We start from the raw sequence: 16,788 nt of genomic DNA on the forward strand, positions 1-16,788 counted from the left end.
CTGATCCATTTCTCCCCATTTTATCTGATCTGATAGGGAAATACCTTCCCGTCTCTTCTGGGTTTGAATCAGGACACTTGGGAAACAGTTTAAAAGAAAAAGAAAAAGGAAGGAAGACCCTTTCTAATGAAATGGAGCTGTCTTTCCTTCCCTCCTCCACGCTAGCCTCCCTCCTGGGATATGAACCTTCCAAAGGCTGCAGTGACAGGAGGACGCATTTGTTCAAGGCAGCAAAGGGGACAGATACCCTTTCAGCATCACAGATACGATAAGACAAGGCCAGTGTTTGTCGAGTCAAAGAGCCAACCAACCCAGAGTCCCTCCGCCCCACTCTCTGTCCTGCAGAGAGGAGCCAGAGGGGACTGCGTGCTTCAGACCTACACCAGGCTGGCCTGATTAAGACAGGAACCCACAGGGACAGGCTACCAAGGAGCCTTGGGGCAGGGGAGACAAGAAACAGAATTCAAAATTCATGTCCAAGTGACCACAGGAGCCACAGTCACACGGGAACATTGCCCCAAGAGCCAAAATCAAAAGACCCATGCTGGAAGACATTGCTTGAACACGAAGGACAGGACTATTCTGTATTCCTCTGAGCTCCGTGTGAAAGCCTGACCTGCTGGCAGAAAGGACAATTAATATTGGAGCGTTCCACCCTTCCTATCCCCTGATCGGACTACGTTACTAGGGCTGCATTTATATTGATAAAGTGTGGCCCATTTACAGAACCTATTTATGGGCAGTGGATTGATTCATTTTCACAACATGGGTCTTAACAGAGTGGCAGATTGTGTTTCCCAACAACCATAACTGTATTCTCGTCTCCCAAATTCTCTTCTACAATGTGGCCTTGAACTCCCCCCAGCAAGGGGTGGGGTCCACATCACCTTGCCTTGGATCTAAGTTGGCATGTGACTGCCTCAGCAATAGAATATAGCCGAAGTGACACCATGCAACTTCCAAGAATGGATCGTTAAAGGCTGTGCAACTTTCTTTCACCTTATTCTCCAGAATACCCAGCTTGTTGGAGCTCAGAGCTGCCCTATAAAAGGTTCAACTACTCCAGAGACTGCTTGACTGGGAGTAAACCAAGCGCATGGAGAAGCCATGGGCATGTGGTTCTCTTGGCAACTGTAGTCTTCCAGGCACCCCAGCTCAGATATCAAACATATGAATGAATGAATGAATGAATGAATGCGCCTCCAGGTGATTCTGAACCCCAGACATCACAGAACAGAGACCAGTGATCCCTGCTGTGCTTCTGAAGAATTCCTGACCACAGAATTTAGGAGCCAAATTAAATGATTATTTGAAGCTGCTATGTGTGGCTGCAATTTGTTATACTGCAATACTGACTGGAACAGGTAGAGTGGAGGTAGGTGCTACATAAATCAAAAGGCTGGAAAAACACCTTGCTATTATTGTTAAAACAAACAGACCTAAGCTCAAGCTCAAATTCACTCAGACCAGTTGCTAAACCTCTCTGAGCCTTGGTTTTGTCATCTGTGAAGTGGGAATAGCACCTCCCTGGTCGTGAGGACATCATTAACTATCAGAATCATCATCATGAACCCTGAGGGCGCTGGGGCTGGGGCTGGCGTGACAACTGTTTGACTATGACACCTAACATGAACTTGCAGGTGATGAGAACTGTTCTGACATTTATAGCACGTTGACCCAGTTCTGTGGGTAATCAAGATTCCGTGTCTTTCCAGACTGAATGAGGAATCTGAGGCATTGCCCTGATGACAGAAATCGGTGAAATTTAATTTCTCTTCTATATATTTTTGCTTGAGTTGGTAATTTCTTTAAATGCACAGAGAAATTCACTGTCAAAATACAGAAAAATTGTTCACAGATAAGCGGAAGAGGCAAACATGATATAAAGTTTCTAATATGATTTTTCTGAAATGGAAATTGAACTCTTACCTCAGTTCAGCACAGAGGATGCTGCCAGTAGAGTGTGGAAACTTTGAAGACAATGCCATGAGTGTGTTTCAAACTGGAGGGTGAGGGGGTCCCAAGGACATCCCAAGGAAGGGCCATGAGACAGGAGGGAGCTGCAGCCTTGCAGAGAAGAGGGGAGGAATGGGAGACTCAGCCATCCCACTCAGCTGACATGGCCTGGCTGAGACCAGGTCAAGTTTGCACTGGGCATAAGGGCTCAGGCAGCACATCCAGTAATGTGGGAGGCCGCAATGAGGGTGGACAGTACAGGGCTCAGAAATAGACTCACCACCAAACCCTGAACCATTTATGGAGCATTAGAGGTTGCAATGGAGGAGCAGACAGGTCCTAGAATGAGAGCTGGAGCTCAGAAGCAGGGGCCTCTGGTGAATTTCTGCTTCCTTGCTCCTTCCCTGTCTTGAGGCCCATTCATTCTTTCATTCATTCATACATCTTCTGTCCATGGCTGCTCTTTGGGCCTCAGGCCATCTGACCTCCTGCCTGAGAGGAGGAGGCAGGAGAGCCTGGACAGACTGGCTGATCCGGTCCCTAGGAACTCAGTCCATGCCTGGCTTCGGGCCCCTACAGCCCACCTTCTCCCTAAGGCAGGGCCTCTTGGCCTCCACCTGCAGGCTCAGCACAGGTCTCCCATTCTTGGGACCCTCCTGGCCTGAGAAACCTCCAGCCTCATCTTGAGGGTGCTCAGCTTCCAGCCTCCCAGACCAATAAAGTCCAGTTAAGAGAGGAGAAGGGAAGGGGGAGGGAAAACTAACACTTACCGAGCCCTGAATGAACCAGACAGCATGTTTGGAGCCTGCCTTCCTTCCTGCTGAAGGAGTTCCCCAGTGGGAACCCTAGGCTCAGGTGGTGCAAGTGAGCCTGGACCCGAGCCCAGTTGACAAATCCTAACACCAAACAGCAACAAGGCATTCTGATTTCAGCGTGTTACATGGCATAGTTAGGGTGCATATAAGACTCAGAGGCTGGGGTCTTCACGGTGAGCACCCGGGTAAACACTTGGTGAGAGCTCCAAGTGTGGCCACCACATTCCTGGGTGACCCCCTGGGATGTTGCAACCCGTGGACACCAACCAGGGGAGTAGGAGCAGGAGAAGGTGGAGGATGCCATGAGAGGGCAAAGGGGGGCTCCCCTGGGGTGCTCTCAGGACTCCAGAAACCCCCAGGTAAGACCTGAAGCTCTTACAATAGCAGGTGAAGCCAAAAAGCCAGAGAAATCAGGGGATAGCTGCAAGCATGCAAATGGATGTACCTGGGAGGCTGGGATGGCAGGAGAAAGTCGAGGATTTTACCAAAGGGGGATATTCATACCTACTAGAGAAGGCTGCTAGGGGATTGAATGAGATCATTCATTCATCTATTTACAGAGCACTTACTGAGCACCTGCAAAGTGCCAGGCACAGAGAACAGCACATCTGGGGCCTGGCCCTCGGAGAATGGGAGGGTCTAAGCATCAGGAATGGAATGGAGGCTCCACACTCCTCAGTTTCCTCCCTCTTCCTCCTGCACCCTTCTAGACAGCATCCTCCTCTCCTGGGACTCAGTCATTCTTTGGGATATCTGCCCCTGAAGCCAAGTAACAGGTAGAAAACCTGTTTCCTTCTACAAATAAAATAAAATCTCCTCGGGTTCACCCTTGCCTCCAGGCTGATTCTGGTTATACAGAGTCAAGCAGGTTTTGCTGCGTGTGTATGTTTTAATAAACAAGATCCATTTCCCCAGCCTCATGTTAAACAGAAATCTGTTCTTCAGGATGACTCTACGGTGTGTTTTGAAAACAAAAACCTGCAAACTAAAATGGCCTCTGACATCACCCAGAGGATGAGAACGGTTCCTCCCGATGCAGGGCTTGTAGAATGGGTGGGGTAAAGTCCCTCCTACCCCACCCCATCCCCAGGTGCTCCTAAGACCCCCCAGGTGATCCCAGACTCATTTCTGATGGCTAATGTCCAGAGTGGCTTCCCCCAGCCACATCATAGCCCCATTCAAAACTGATCACCATGAGTCCAGTTCTCTTCTATGCCCTCATGTTCCAAAACCTCTAAGCTGATCCATCTGTAACTTGCAAGGGACAAAACCAGGACTGTACCCAGCATTTGTTGTGACTGTTTTTTAACAAAGTAAATAATATCTCAAAGGCAGACATCTATAAAATGAGCTGTTCCACCTCAGCGAGGCTTGTCACAAATATGAGGGCTTGCTCTTTTCAAAATACTCCAACATCCCATGGCTATGAAAAAAAAAAAAAATCCCCTCTCAACTGATTGACTCAGAGTGGTTTTGAGGAAGAGCTACAGCAGCTGACTAGCCAAACATTTCTTAAATAGCATGGTCCCAGCACTGCTCCTCTGAACGGCCTCATGCAGGGCTCCCACCCACCCAGGATCAATAGCCTAATTCATTCCCAGGAGGAAGTGCTCAGGTGGAGTGGTATCCAGGGCCTCAGCTCCAGACAGTGAGTGGGACTGGTTTGGGGACCCACGTCTGGGGTGGGTTTAACCTCCTGATAGCAGCCCAAGAGAGCCTTTTATCCCAAGCTCTCCAGCACCCTCATTAGAGAGGATTAGGAGACTGTTTGGCAGAAGAAAAGGCTTTCCTCACTGGCAGGCATGGCAGCAGGGAAGGCCTATGCCTAGGGAATGGCCCGATAGCCAAGATGTAACTCTACAAAACAGCAGAGCAAAAGCCAAGAATCTCAAGAAGCAGAGACACCCAGGAGCAAATCCTAGCTCATTGCACAACCTCAAGCAAATCATTCTCTCTTTTGCTCTCCTCTGTAAATGGAGATAATAATAAACACCTTTGTGGATGATTGAACTACTGGCTCCAACTCTTAGTGGGCCTCTCCCATCATTGCCATGGCCTCACAGTGGGTCATGTGACTTGCTTTGGCCAAGGGAATATTAGTGGAAATGATACCAGCAGAAGCTTGAAATGTGCTTATGGGTGTGGGCTTGCCTTCTCAGGCTTTTATGATTGCCACAAAGAGGACATACCCTGGAAAGCCACTGCCCCGCCTAGCAGGGCCCCAGGATGAGATGTGTTGAACAGAGACCTCAGCAGACCTACTGACCTATACCCAGAAGCAGAGCTGCCCCAGGCAGTCTACAGGTGTGTGAGCTAGAAATTAATGCTGACTGTTGTAGGAATTATGTAGTTGTTTGTTATACAGCATTATTGTGCAAATAGCTGACTGGTACATCTTTCTTATAAGACAGGTTGTAACATTAAGATAATGTATGTAAATCACTTGGGCAAAATTTAAGTGCTCAAGTAATATTAGCCAAGTAATTATCATCATCAGTAAACAATTCTCTCCTTTTCCAATCTCTGTTGAAACTGCTAATCGAATTGCATCTTCCCCTGCTTAACGACTTTTAGAGGCTTCCTATTGTTTTCAGAATAAAAATCAAACTCCATATGGCTGATAAGGTCATGCCTAAGTTGTCCTCTGACTACTCATCTAGCCCCATTGATCATTGCTTCCCCCAACCCACAATCCTCTGCCACCATGTACATTTCTGGCATGCAAACTATGCACTATTCTCTCAATATGCCAAACTCTCTCACACCTCCATGTATTGCACATACTGTTCCCTCTGCCCAGAACTCCTTCTTCCCTGTTTTCTGCCTGCTGAACCCATGCTCCTTCTTTAAGAGCTTGCTCAGCTCTTGAGCAAAGGAAACATGTCACCACCATTGTGCATGCAGCCAACCTCCCCTAGCCCCAATCCTAGGATTAAACCAGGGGCTAGACCAGAGCCACCAGGGAGGAAGGGAGAGGAAGTGGGTATAGCGTGAGACTTCCTGTTACAGGAGTGATGTGGCTGGTTGATATGCAGCACTGCCCTTCACCACCCCAGCCTGCTCTCATCCAATCCTGTCCTCCAACTCACTGCAGAAACAGGATCAAATGGAAGATCCCAAAACTCACCTCTCAAATAGGAAGCTCTTCTACCTGAAAGTTTCCCCTTGTCTTAGTCCATCCTCTGTTGCTACTACTGAATACCTGAGACTTGGTCATTTATTAAAAAAAGGAATTTGTTTCTTACAGTCTGGAGGCTGGAAAGTCCAAGGTTGAAGGGGTAAATCTGTTGAGAGCCTTCTTGCTGGTGGGGACCCTCGGCAGAGTCCTGAAGCAGTACAGGATATCACATTGCAAGGGGGCTGGACATGTCAGCTCAGGTCTCTCTTCTTATAAAGCCACCAGTCCCACTCCCATGATAACACATTAATCCGCAAGTGGCATTAATCTATTCCTGAGGGCAGATGCTTCGAGACCCGATCACCTCTTAAAGACCCCATCTCTCAATGCTGCCACATTGGGGATTAAGTTTCAACATGAGTTTTGAAGAGGGCAAACATTCAAACCATAGCACCCCTGAAACAGTCACCAGGGGCCACCCATGCCTCTTCTTGAGAGGTATCTGGAGCCTTTGATTTTACCATGGCCTCCAGCACTAGACACTGTGGCCTGGTGTCTGGCCCCTCCATGGCTGCTCCAGGCCCAGGAGTCCCCAACAAGGGTGGAGGATGGAGGGTATCAGTCCCATCAGGGAGTCTTCGTTTAAGGGTTCCCCCTTCATATTGATGAGCCACACCTATCCACCATCAAATACACATGTCTAGTTTTTCTGAAGCCCCACACAAACCATCCCCATTGCCTTTGCTCCAGCCACAACCAACAGGGTACATCTGAAGGCTCGCCTCCTCTTCACCCACCTTTACTCATTATCTACCTTGCTCCTGGCCTGCAGAGCCAAGCCAGCCCAGGCATCTGTCCCACTTCAGAAACAGTGGCCATTCCAACCAAGCCCCTCCAGTATCACTGCACTACCTTCCCAGCTCAGGATTTGTGGTGCTGTGGCATCAAATACAAGCCCAGCCCTGTCCCCAGGCCTTCATCCTGGCCTCCCCACTTCCCTTCTCCTCACCTACCCTCACCATCTCCTGTGTCCCAACCCACCACATCTCACACTGACACCTATCCCTTGCCTGGTGCCCACCCAGCCAGCCAGTCCCCTACCCATAAGCAGATGAGGGGAGACTTAGGTGACAGAACCCAATGTGTAAAATAGGTGCTTTGTTTTCTGTCTTCTGGATTAAGAGGAAAAAAGTGGTGAGCCTTTCAGCGACTTACCTGGTTTAAAAACTGGCCGTGGCATGTCCTCAGGCTGGCAAAAGTGAAAAAGTCAGATGCTATCAAGTGCTGGTGACAATGTAGGGAAAACATGATTCTCACAGACTGCTGTTGAGGGTGTAATTGGCACAGTCATGTTGAATAGTGGCTTCCACTGAAGCTGAAAATGCTATCGCCTGGCCATGGTCTTGTGCTTTCCCTGGAAGGGGTCTTTCCTACAGACCCCTGCACATGTGTGCATAAGGACCTATGTATAAGGATGACATTGCAACATTGTTTTCTGCAGCAGAAAGAAATTGGAAGTAAACTACATGTCCATGAATAGGACAGATTTTTTTTTTTAATATGAAACAAAGCAGTTAAAAGAAATGAACCAAAATGGCCAGTTTGGACACAGGCCTAAAAATCACATTGTTCAGTGAAATAAAGCAAGTTGCAGAATGATATAAATAGCATAATACCATTTATGAAAGTTAAAATACACATAGGGATACTATTATTTCCTATGGATATGTGAAAGGCTTTTATTTTTTGAAGAACAGAATACACCCAACTCATTATAGAGGATACCACTGGGAAGAAAGGAAGAGGATTAGGATTTAGAGAGAGATGGAGACCTGAAATTTATCTACTGTATTCTGAATTTTGTCTTGGGCAATGGAGCACTGTAGTCACATAATATCTGAGCAGTTCAGGGCAAATATGATAAATTTTAACATATTTTTCAGTGGATATATGAGAGTTGCTATTTTTGACTTGTTGCTCTTATGCATACTCTAGATTTTATTTTTAAATGGTCAGAAGGAATTTTCTAATCAGCTATTGAGTGTCCACTGGGTGCCTGGCCATAGCAAGGGCTGTGATCATGGAAAAGTCTTTTGAAGACAGAAAAGGAGAGGTCCTGTCTACAGCCATACCACCCTGAATGTGCCCGATCTCGTCTGATCTCAGAAGCTAAGCAGGGTCGGGCCTGGTTAGTACTTGGATGGGAGAAAAGGAGAGGTCCTGATGGGAAGGTTCAGAATGGTGTGCTCCAAGTTCAGTGTTCGTTGTCAAGCAGGCCATGATTGAGGAAAATCCCCACCCAATGGGAAGCATATTTTCCATTTTACTAGTGATGGAAACTAATCAAAACCAGCTTTAATTCTGAAAGATCCAATAAATAACTTTGATTCAAGCAATTACTTAAAATTGAAATTTGCTAAGTGAGGAGAATGAGTCATTCATTTGTGCTGTGACACCTGTTACCTGGCAGAGGCAGAGAGTCCTGGGGGTAGAGAGAGGCATAGGAGTGGAGATTAGCTGTTGCCTCCACCTTGTTGCATCCATCTGCAAGATGGAGAGACTGCTCACAGCCCACAGGACACCAGCAGAGGCCATGTCCAAGGTCTCGCTCTGTCACCCAGGCTGGAGTGCAGTGGTATGATCATAGCTCACTGTAACCTCAGACTCCTGAGCTCAAGTGAGCCTCTCAAGTAGCTGGGACTACAAATGCTCACCACCACTCCAGCTAATTTTTTACTTTTTGTAGAGATAGGGGTCTTGCTATGTTGCCCAGGCTGGCCTCCAACTTCTGGCCTTGAGTGATTCTCCAGCCTCAGCCTCTCTAAGCACTAAGATTGCAGGCATGGCCACCACATCTGCCCCTCACTGCATCACCAAACTCATCTTCCTCTGTACCATATCACCAAAACTCATCACTTTCAGTCTTGAGTCTCTGCAGCCCAGGTTGACTTTACCTTTGCCCTGTGTCTTTAATTTTAAAGGATTGCTGAACACATTGGTTTCGATTCCCCCCAGAAGAAGACCCTGAGACAATGACTAAAGTACAAGGAGTTCACTTAGGAGATTCAGGAACTACCAGCAGGGAACTGGGGAAGGGACACGGTGAAAGGGGAGGCAGCCACAAAGGTGAGCTGTTAAACCACCTGGATGATGCAGTAGGCAGAGCAAGGCCCCCAGAGATAGCTGTGAATCCCCAGGACCTATGAATATATTACATTACACAGCAAAGGGGAATTAAGACTGAAGATGAAATGAAGGTTGCTAATCAGCTGATCTCCAGATGGGGAAATTATCCTGCATCATCCAGATAGGACCAAGCTAATCACAAGGCTCCTTCCATGTGGAAGAAGAAGAGTTTGAGTGCTGTGATGTGAGAAAGACTCAATGGCCATTGCTGGCTTTGAAGATGGAAGTAGAGGCCACAAGCCAAGGAATGAAGGCAGCCTCAGAAGCTAAAGAAGGCAAGGAAATGGATTCTGCCCTGGAGCCTCCCAAAGACCTATTTCAGGGCCGGGCATGGTGGCTCACACCAGTAATCCCAGCATACTGGGAGGCCGATGAGGGAGGCTCACTTGAGGCCAGGAGTTGGAGACCAGCCTGGCCAACATGGTGAAACACTGTCTCTACTAAAAATACAAAAGTTAGCCGGATGTGGTGGTGTGTGCCTGTAATCCCAGCTTCTTGGGAGGCTGAGGCAGAAGAATCGCTTGAACCGGGAAGCGGAGGTTGCAGTGAGCTGAGATCGTACCACGGCACTCCAGCCTGGGTGACAGATCAAGACTCTTGTCTCAAAAAAAAAAAAAGAAGTCTGTTTTAGACTTCTGACATCAACAACTGCAAGGTAGTAAATGTGTATTGTTTTAAGTCACCACGTTTGTCATAATATGTTACAGCAGCAATAGAAAATGAATACAGATTATTTCAGGAAACTCTGGAAATGGTGCAAAACCTACCTCAGAATGACCGCATTATTGAAGAGACGGAACGAAGGAATTTATACACCACAGTCTCTGGTTGGGGATGCTCCCCTGTAAGGCTGGGAAAGGTGATGAGGGGGCCTTCCGTGGTTCCAGAAAAGCCATCAGGCTCAGGGATGCAGTTGCCATCGGAGGTTAGCAAGAGCTCACTATACAGCAGGGTCTGTGGGTGTGGCACTTGCCTGAAGGCAGGAAATCCATTGCTGAAAATCTGCTCTGTCTCAGGCACCATGCTAAGTCCTCCTCTGTGCACTGTTTCACATAAGCCTCACAGTGACTTCTGTGCCCAAGCAGGAGTACCTCCAGTTTTACCAGATGATGAAAGTAAGGCCCAGAGAGATGCCATGACTTCCCAAAGTCACACAGCTTGCAAGGGACAGAGCCAGGCTTGGAGCCACGACCACCTGATCATGGAGGCTGTCCCCTTTCCACTCTACCGTGACGAGGATGCTCATTTTGGGGTGTCTTGCTGTTTGCTAGCCCTCAGGTCAGACACATAATGCAGTTCAGAGGTCTCCAGAGGATGCCACACCAAGCTATGCTGCAAAGAAACTGAAAGTGCTGCTGACTCTCCCTGGGAGCAACTCACAGGGGCACTGGGCCGAGATCAGGAGTCCCCAGTTACTGGCTCCAGAAACGAATCCACACAGCCAGTGGTGGCTCCAAGTCCCCCGCTTCCCACTTCTGCTCAGCCTCTGGCACCACTCCCAGATTCCCATCAGGGGAAAAGGATGGGAAACAGCCCAGCCCCGAGCAGGAGCTGACTACATGGAAATGCTGATCAATAATGAATGAATTGCCCTCTCCAGAAAGCTCCAACTTCATCTCCCTGGATCTCGCCAGAAATCCCGGCGTGTGGCTCTGCCTCTCTTCACTGGCTATGCGGTCCCATATGGCTATGGGAACTGGGAGTGTGGGGCTCCAAGCTCCATGGGGACCCCAGGCCAGGATGGTAGAGAACTGCAGGAGGGAGAATTTGCTCATTCCTAAAATGAAGGCGGTCATAACACACACCGCACAGCAGATCACAGTGAAGATGAGACAGGAGTGATGCACCAAACGCAGCATGGAGCACATTTCAGACCCTCGGTAAATCTCTGCGATGCTCATTTTCATGCAAATGGAGGCTGAGAGACCCTCTCCTGAGGTTTGGGTCCTGACTCCCCATTTGGCAACTGTTGAATTTCAAATCTGCTGAGATGTGTGAAGGGAAGAGCAGGACTGCAAGTCAGGGGTCTGGATTTTAACCCTGGCTCTGCCCTGCACCCCCTAGGACACTGGGCATGTTATTCAAACCTTCTGTCCCTCATTTCTTCATCTGTAAATCGGGCATGATCAGCACCTCCCAGAGCACTGTGGAGAGGGTGCAGGGACTTCATGTGCAAAGCCCAGTGCGATGCTAACGAGCAGGCAGAGCTGGCACATGTCCATCACCCTCCCTTCTACCAGGTGCCACAAATTGCCAGGGCTCTGCCCTGGCTGGGTGGGGAAAGGATGGCCCCAGTGGAGGGTCTCCAAGTTGGGTAACAGGTGGCCCTTCCTCTGCCCCCACTGCTGGTCAGCCAGGTATGGCAGTAGAGAGAGGAGGCTCATCTTCATCTGCAGAGTCAAGGGCATGTGTTGGGAGGAGCCCCACTCCCCATGTTTCTGCCCTCCACCCACCTCCATGCCCTCACAGTTGCTCCACCAGGGAAGGAGGGCATGGCCATGTGAGCGATCAACCCTGAGATGTTGCCAGCAGCAGGGTCACTCTGTGATATGGCTTGGCTCTGTGTTCCCACCCAAATCTCAAGTCAAATTGTAGTTCCCAGCCAGGCATGGTGGCTCACGCCTGTAATCCCTGCACTTTGGGAGGCTGAGGCGGGTGGATCACTTGAGGTCAGGAGTTCAAGCCCAGCCTGGCCAACATGGTGAAACCCCGTCTCTACTAAAAATACAAAAATTAGCCAGGTATGATTGCACACACCTGTAATCTCAGCTGCTCTGAAGGCTAAGGCACGAGAATCGCTTGAACTCAGGAGGCGGAGGTTGCAGTGAGATTGCGCCACTGCACTCCAGCCTAAGTGACAGAGCGAGGCTCCATCTCAAAAAAAAAAAGAAAAATTGTAATTCCCAAGGTTGGGGTACAGACCTGATGGGAGGTGATGGGATCACAGGGGTGGATTTTCCCCTTGCTGTTCTTGTGACAGTGAGTGAGTTACTGAGTTCTCATGGGATCTGGTTGTTTACAAGTGTGTAACATTCCCCCTTCTCTCCCTCTCTCTCCTGCTCCACCATGTGAAGAAAGTGCTTGCTTCCCCTTCACTCTTCTGCCATGACTATAAGTTTCCTGAGGCCTCCCCAGTCATGCTTCCTGTATAGCCTGCAGAACTGTGAGCCAATTAAACCTCTTTCCTTATAAATTACCCAGTCTCAGGTAGTTCTTTATAGCCATGCGAGAATGGACCAATACACTTTGTGTCATACAAGGCTCACTCTCCTGTGCTCCCTATGTCCAGGCGTGAATGAGAAGAGGCAGGTTGGCCACACTCATTCATGTGACTCTTGGGGCCCTTTCTACAGATGTGGCCATCCTGGATTCATCAATGGGATATAGAAAGCTTCCTTTAGGCCTGGCAGCCATGCTGCCTCCCAAATCCAGCCTATACCCAATGCCCGTCCCAGGCCTGCCCAAGCCTGTCTGACTTCCCTTTGGCTACTGTTTCTTGTGTGTGTTCCTTTCTCAGGCAAAATCCCAGGACTCTGGGGACTCCTACTAGTGGTGGTCTTGAAGAAGGATCAGCCTGTGCCCCAGGCTGCAATGGAAATGCACCCCAGGCCCTGCAGGAACTAGGACAGGGATGGAGAGCCTCGTGTAGAATGTTCATTGCCACTGCATGGTCCCGGGAGATGTACCCTGAAAAGGAGGGAGGCCAGTGGGGCTGGGCAAAGGTGACCACAATGTGCTGGTTCTGAAGGCTTCAGCTGATCCCAGGAGAGCTCTGTATCCAAGCTGATCCCTCAGAGTTGTCTGAAATTGAGGCCAGGGGGCCCAAGTCTTTATAACTGCCCCACTCCATCAGCCAGTCATCAGCTATGGGAAAGGACTTCACCTTGGATGAAGCCGTTTCCTTCCGCCAAGGGCAATTTCCAGTGAAGGATGAAGGTATTCCCAGCACCTGGGGAATGGGTGCTAAGGCCTCGAAGATGGGGTCTATGCAGAAACCACAATATTCACTCCTGAGTGGAGACCCTGCTGGCCAAGGCAGGCAGGGGAGGGAGCCTGGGTGCGGGGACATCACCTTGTCAGTTCCAGTTCCAGCCGATGGACCCACTGCCCTCCATGCCTTTTCAGAAACCCACAGGGCATTCTCTCCCCATCCTCAGGCTCCTGGTGGTCTCAGTGAGCCAGCCTGTACCCCTGCAGAGAAGCTAACAGAGACATCAAAGCCGCAGCCTCTTGCTTTCAAGCAGCTTTGAAATACGTTTCTGAAATGGCTATGCCCAGGAAGATTAAAAGTCCTCCTTTTGATGAATCCAAGGGTCTTGAGCATCAGAAACAGAGTGGGTGGGCTCAGAAATATAGAAAAGTGGAGTACCTTTGTGCACCGGGTGGCGGAATAGAAAGGCCAGAAACAGGGACACATAGAGTAAAAATACGTGATGAAGCTAAGCAGTAAAATCTTAGTTCCAGGGTCTCTAAAGTAGCAATGGGTGTGTGCAGGCCCCCCAGCAGGGGTCTGGGAAGTGAACAGATTGTCAGGAGGAAATAAAAGGCCTTCACTGATTCACTCAATCATTTATTCATGCAGAAGCGATGAGTGAGCACCTACTAAGTGCAGACACTGCCAGGGTCCAGTGTACAGTGGAAAAACGAAAGACCTGCCTCTGCCTCTGCCCCTGCCCCTGCCCCTGAGTTGCTGACAGCCTAGCCAGGGAGCCAGTTTGTCCAGTGTGAAATGTGCTAAGATGGGGAGGCACAGGGACCACAGGATTCAGAGGGAGTCAGGGAGGACTTCCTGGAGGAAGCAAAGCCTGAACAGAGCCCCAAAGGATGAGCAGAAGTGAATCAAGCAAAGGGGAGTGGGGAGAGGAGAACATGAGTGAGGTGAGAGGGGAGAGAAGTTTGGAAGGGGAGTGAAGACAGGTGAGGCCTAGGGGTGGAGTATGATCAGATCACACAAGGCTTTGAAGACCATCCTGAACTAGATCAGGATGGCAGTGTGGAGCCATGGAAGGGTCTTGGGTGTGGGGCATGATAGGAGCCCATCTGTGGATTAGGACACTGAGCAGCCCCACCAGCCATTAAAGACTCACATTTTAAATCCTCTGGGTCTCCTAACCCGTAGTCCTGACCTAAGATTGGAGAAGGGCTGGACTGGTTGGGACAGAAAAGAGCTTGAGGAGAGTCAAGGCCCAAGCCCCTTGATTTGGTCCAAGGCCCCTACATGACTTTGCCCTTATCTGCAAATGTCTGATTCAGAACATGTCCTGCTCTAGAACCACAGAAATCCTTGCATTCCGCACCATACCAAGCAGTCTCACTCCTCCCAGCTTTTGCTCAGGCCATTTCAGGTCACTGGGATGCCCACTCCCCTGTCCGCTTCACCTGGCTGACTCCCACCTCTCTTCAACCACCTCTGCCACCCTCCATCCCCAGGCTGTTCCAGTGCATCCTCTCAGACTCCCCCGGGCCCAGCACTTCCCTAGTCACAGCTCCATTGTCGTGATCACCTACTTATATGTCTGTCCACACCCGCTAAAAGCTGGGCTCCTGAAGGGCAGGAACCTCTTCAATTCAGACTCCTCAAAGCATACCAAGCTTAGCACCATCCATGCCCTACAGCCCTGAAAAAGGAGGATTCCTCAAAGATCATCTTACCCAGATCCGCTGTTGTCTGAATGACCCCCATAGTGCACGTGTTGAAAATTACTCACCAATATGGTAACATTAAGAGGTGGAGTCTGTAGAAGGGAATTAAGCCATGAGGACAGAGTTCTCATGAATGGCATCAGTGGCCTTATAAAAGAAGCTTCGGAGCGCTTCCTCCCTTTCCAACTCTTTGACCCTTCCACTGTATAGGAGGGCATAGCATTCATCCCCTCTGGAGGATGCAGCAACGGGACACCATGTTGGAAGGAAGCAGAGACCGAGGCCTCACCAAACACCTAATGTCCAGACGCCTTGACTTCAGCCCCCCAGCCTCCAGAACTGTGAGAAAATAAATTTCTGCTGCTTATAAATTACTGCTGAAGGTATTTTGTTACAGCAGTACAAACAGACAAAAAGAAGACCCCCATCTTCCAAGCAAGAAGAAATGGAACCAACAATTGCAAGGCTCCTACTGGCACCAGGCCTTTTGCAAACCTCCTCTCTGGTCATCCTCAAATATCTCTGCCTGGCAAGTATCATGAGTCCTGCTCTGGGTGCTCAGGGGGCAGCTACCTGTCCAAGGCCACAGAGCCAGCCAAGAGCAAAGCTGGGATTCGATCTCGACCTTTTCCAAGACTCCTCCCTTAGAATTTTCCAACCCAGTTTTCCACCTTCTGCATGGAATGACAGGGAACATGGCTATCAAAATGGTTTCCTTATGTCTGAGAACCGGAGCCTGCTGGTGCGTGATCTTGAGCTCCAACATAGACATAGTCATATATACTAGTCACATGGCCTCCTGAAAGAGGGCTGCTGGTCATTTAATGAACTGATCCAGGCAGAATGAGGAAAAGCATCCCCAGGGCCACTACCATGCTGTCCTTCAACCTCACACGTGCCAGCTTCCCTCGTGGCTCCAAGCCCCATGGCTTCCCAGCAAACACAACTCAACCTCCTCACAAACACATTCTCTGGCTCCACCGGACCTTGGGCTCACGGATTCAACACCATAATAATACTTCCCTGGAGGCGAGGAAAGCGCACTGAAGCAGCAGACAGTTCTGCAGTATCTGCAGGAACCTGGGGTGGACCGGCGCCCCTGTGACCCGGCAGTCCAGGAAGTCGGGCACCCTTGACTCTCACAGCATCTGCCACTGCTCCATCCGGGCGAGCTGAGACATTGCCCCTTTTATAACATTTTCATCATGGCTAGAAAGCACCGGGTTATGACAAGAGGGCAGCATAAGAAGGCTGATCAAGAAGGGGAGATGAGAGGACCAGAGCAAGCTGACAGTGACCTGTACCTTTCAAATTAGCGACTTTGATTGGGAAGCAAATCTGATCATATATGCACATGGAAGCCTGAGAGAAGCCTTGCATCTTCACATTTAAACCCCAGAAGTCGCAAAGCACTGTGTGTTTTTACTTAAAACGTGTGACAGGCAAGACCTTTCTGAATGTGAGGATCGGAGAAGGGAGGATAGCCTGGTCCACGAAGGGCCATCAGATGCAAGAAACGAGTGTCGTGATGTGAACAGCACCTTCCCTTGTTGTTCTTATTTATATTTTATTATGAGTTTATTGAATGTTTTCTTGTAGGTTGCCTCAAATCCTTTAGGGAGCAAAGCAATGCAAAATAAGTAAATGCTTTGAATTAAAAGCACTGGAGCGACAGCATTCCAGGGACAGAAGTGAGTGTTCAGGAAATCAGAGGGGGCTTTGCACAGAGACCCCACCAATATCATGCAGCAGCGGCAGCTCCAGTCTAGGCATGGCTAATCTTGCTTAATGCCCACCAGGCACCTTTCTGCACTCCATCCATCACCCAGGCAGGCCTAGGTTCCCGGGGACCACCTCCTTCTTCAGCTCCCCAATGAACCTAGCCCTGTGCTGTAGGGAAGGGCCAGGGGAAACAGAGAGGAGTGTTTCAGGGCTCTGGAGCCAGACCACCTGTATTCAAATCTTTATTCTATTTCTTCCTACTGCGTGACCATAAGGATGCCTCATTATTTCTTGTGCCTGAAATGAGGTCAATGCAGCATCTGCCTCCACAGGGTAGTTTTGAGCTCA

General features: G+C 49.4%; 1 pseudogene, besides 1 other annotated feature; it reads left to right on the plus strand.

The window, feature by feature from the left end:
* Positions 8,008 to 8,139, plus strand: RNA5SP428 (RNA, 5S ribosomal pseudogene 428; annotated as a pseudogene).
* Positions 11,413 to 11,913: an enhancer, noted in NCBI's record as "H3K4me1 hESC enhancer chr16:66339117-66339617 (GRCh37/hg19 assembly coordinates)". NCBI's record gives its function as "activates a minimal SCP1, AML or CMV promoter by ChIP-STARR-seq in naive H9 embryonic stem cells {active_cell/tissue: H9 hESC(naive)}" and the evidence as "EXISTENCE:reporter gene assay evidence [ECO:0000049][PMID:30033119]".

This window comes from Homo sapiens, chromosome 16 (genome assembly GCF_000001405.40).
Source record: "Homo sapiens chromosome 16, GRCh38.p14 Primary Assembly".
Classification (NCBI taxonomy): Eukaryota; Metazoa; Chordata; class Mammalia; order Primates; family Hominidae; genus Homo; species Homo sapiens.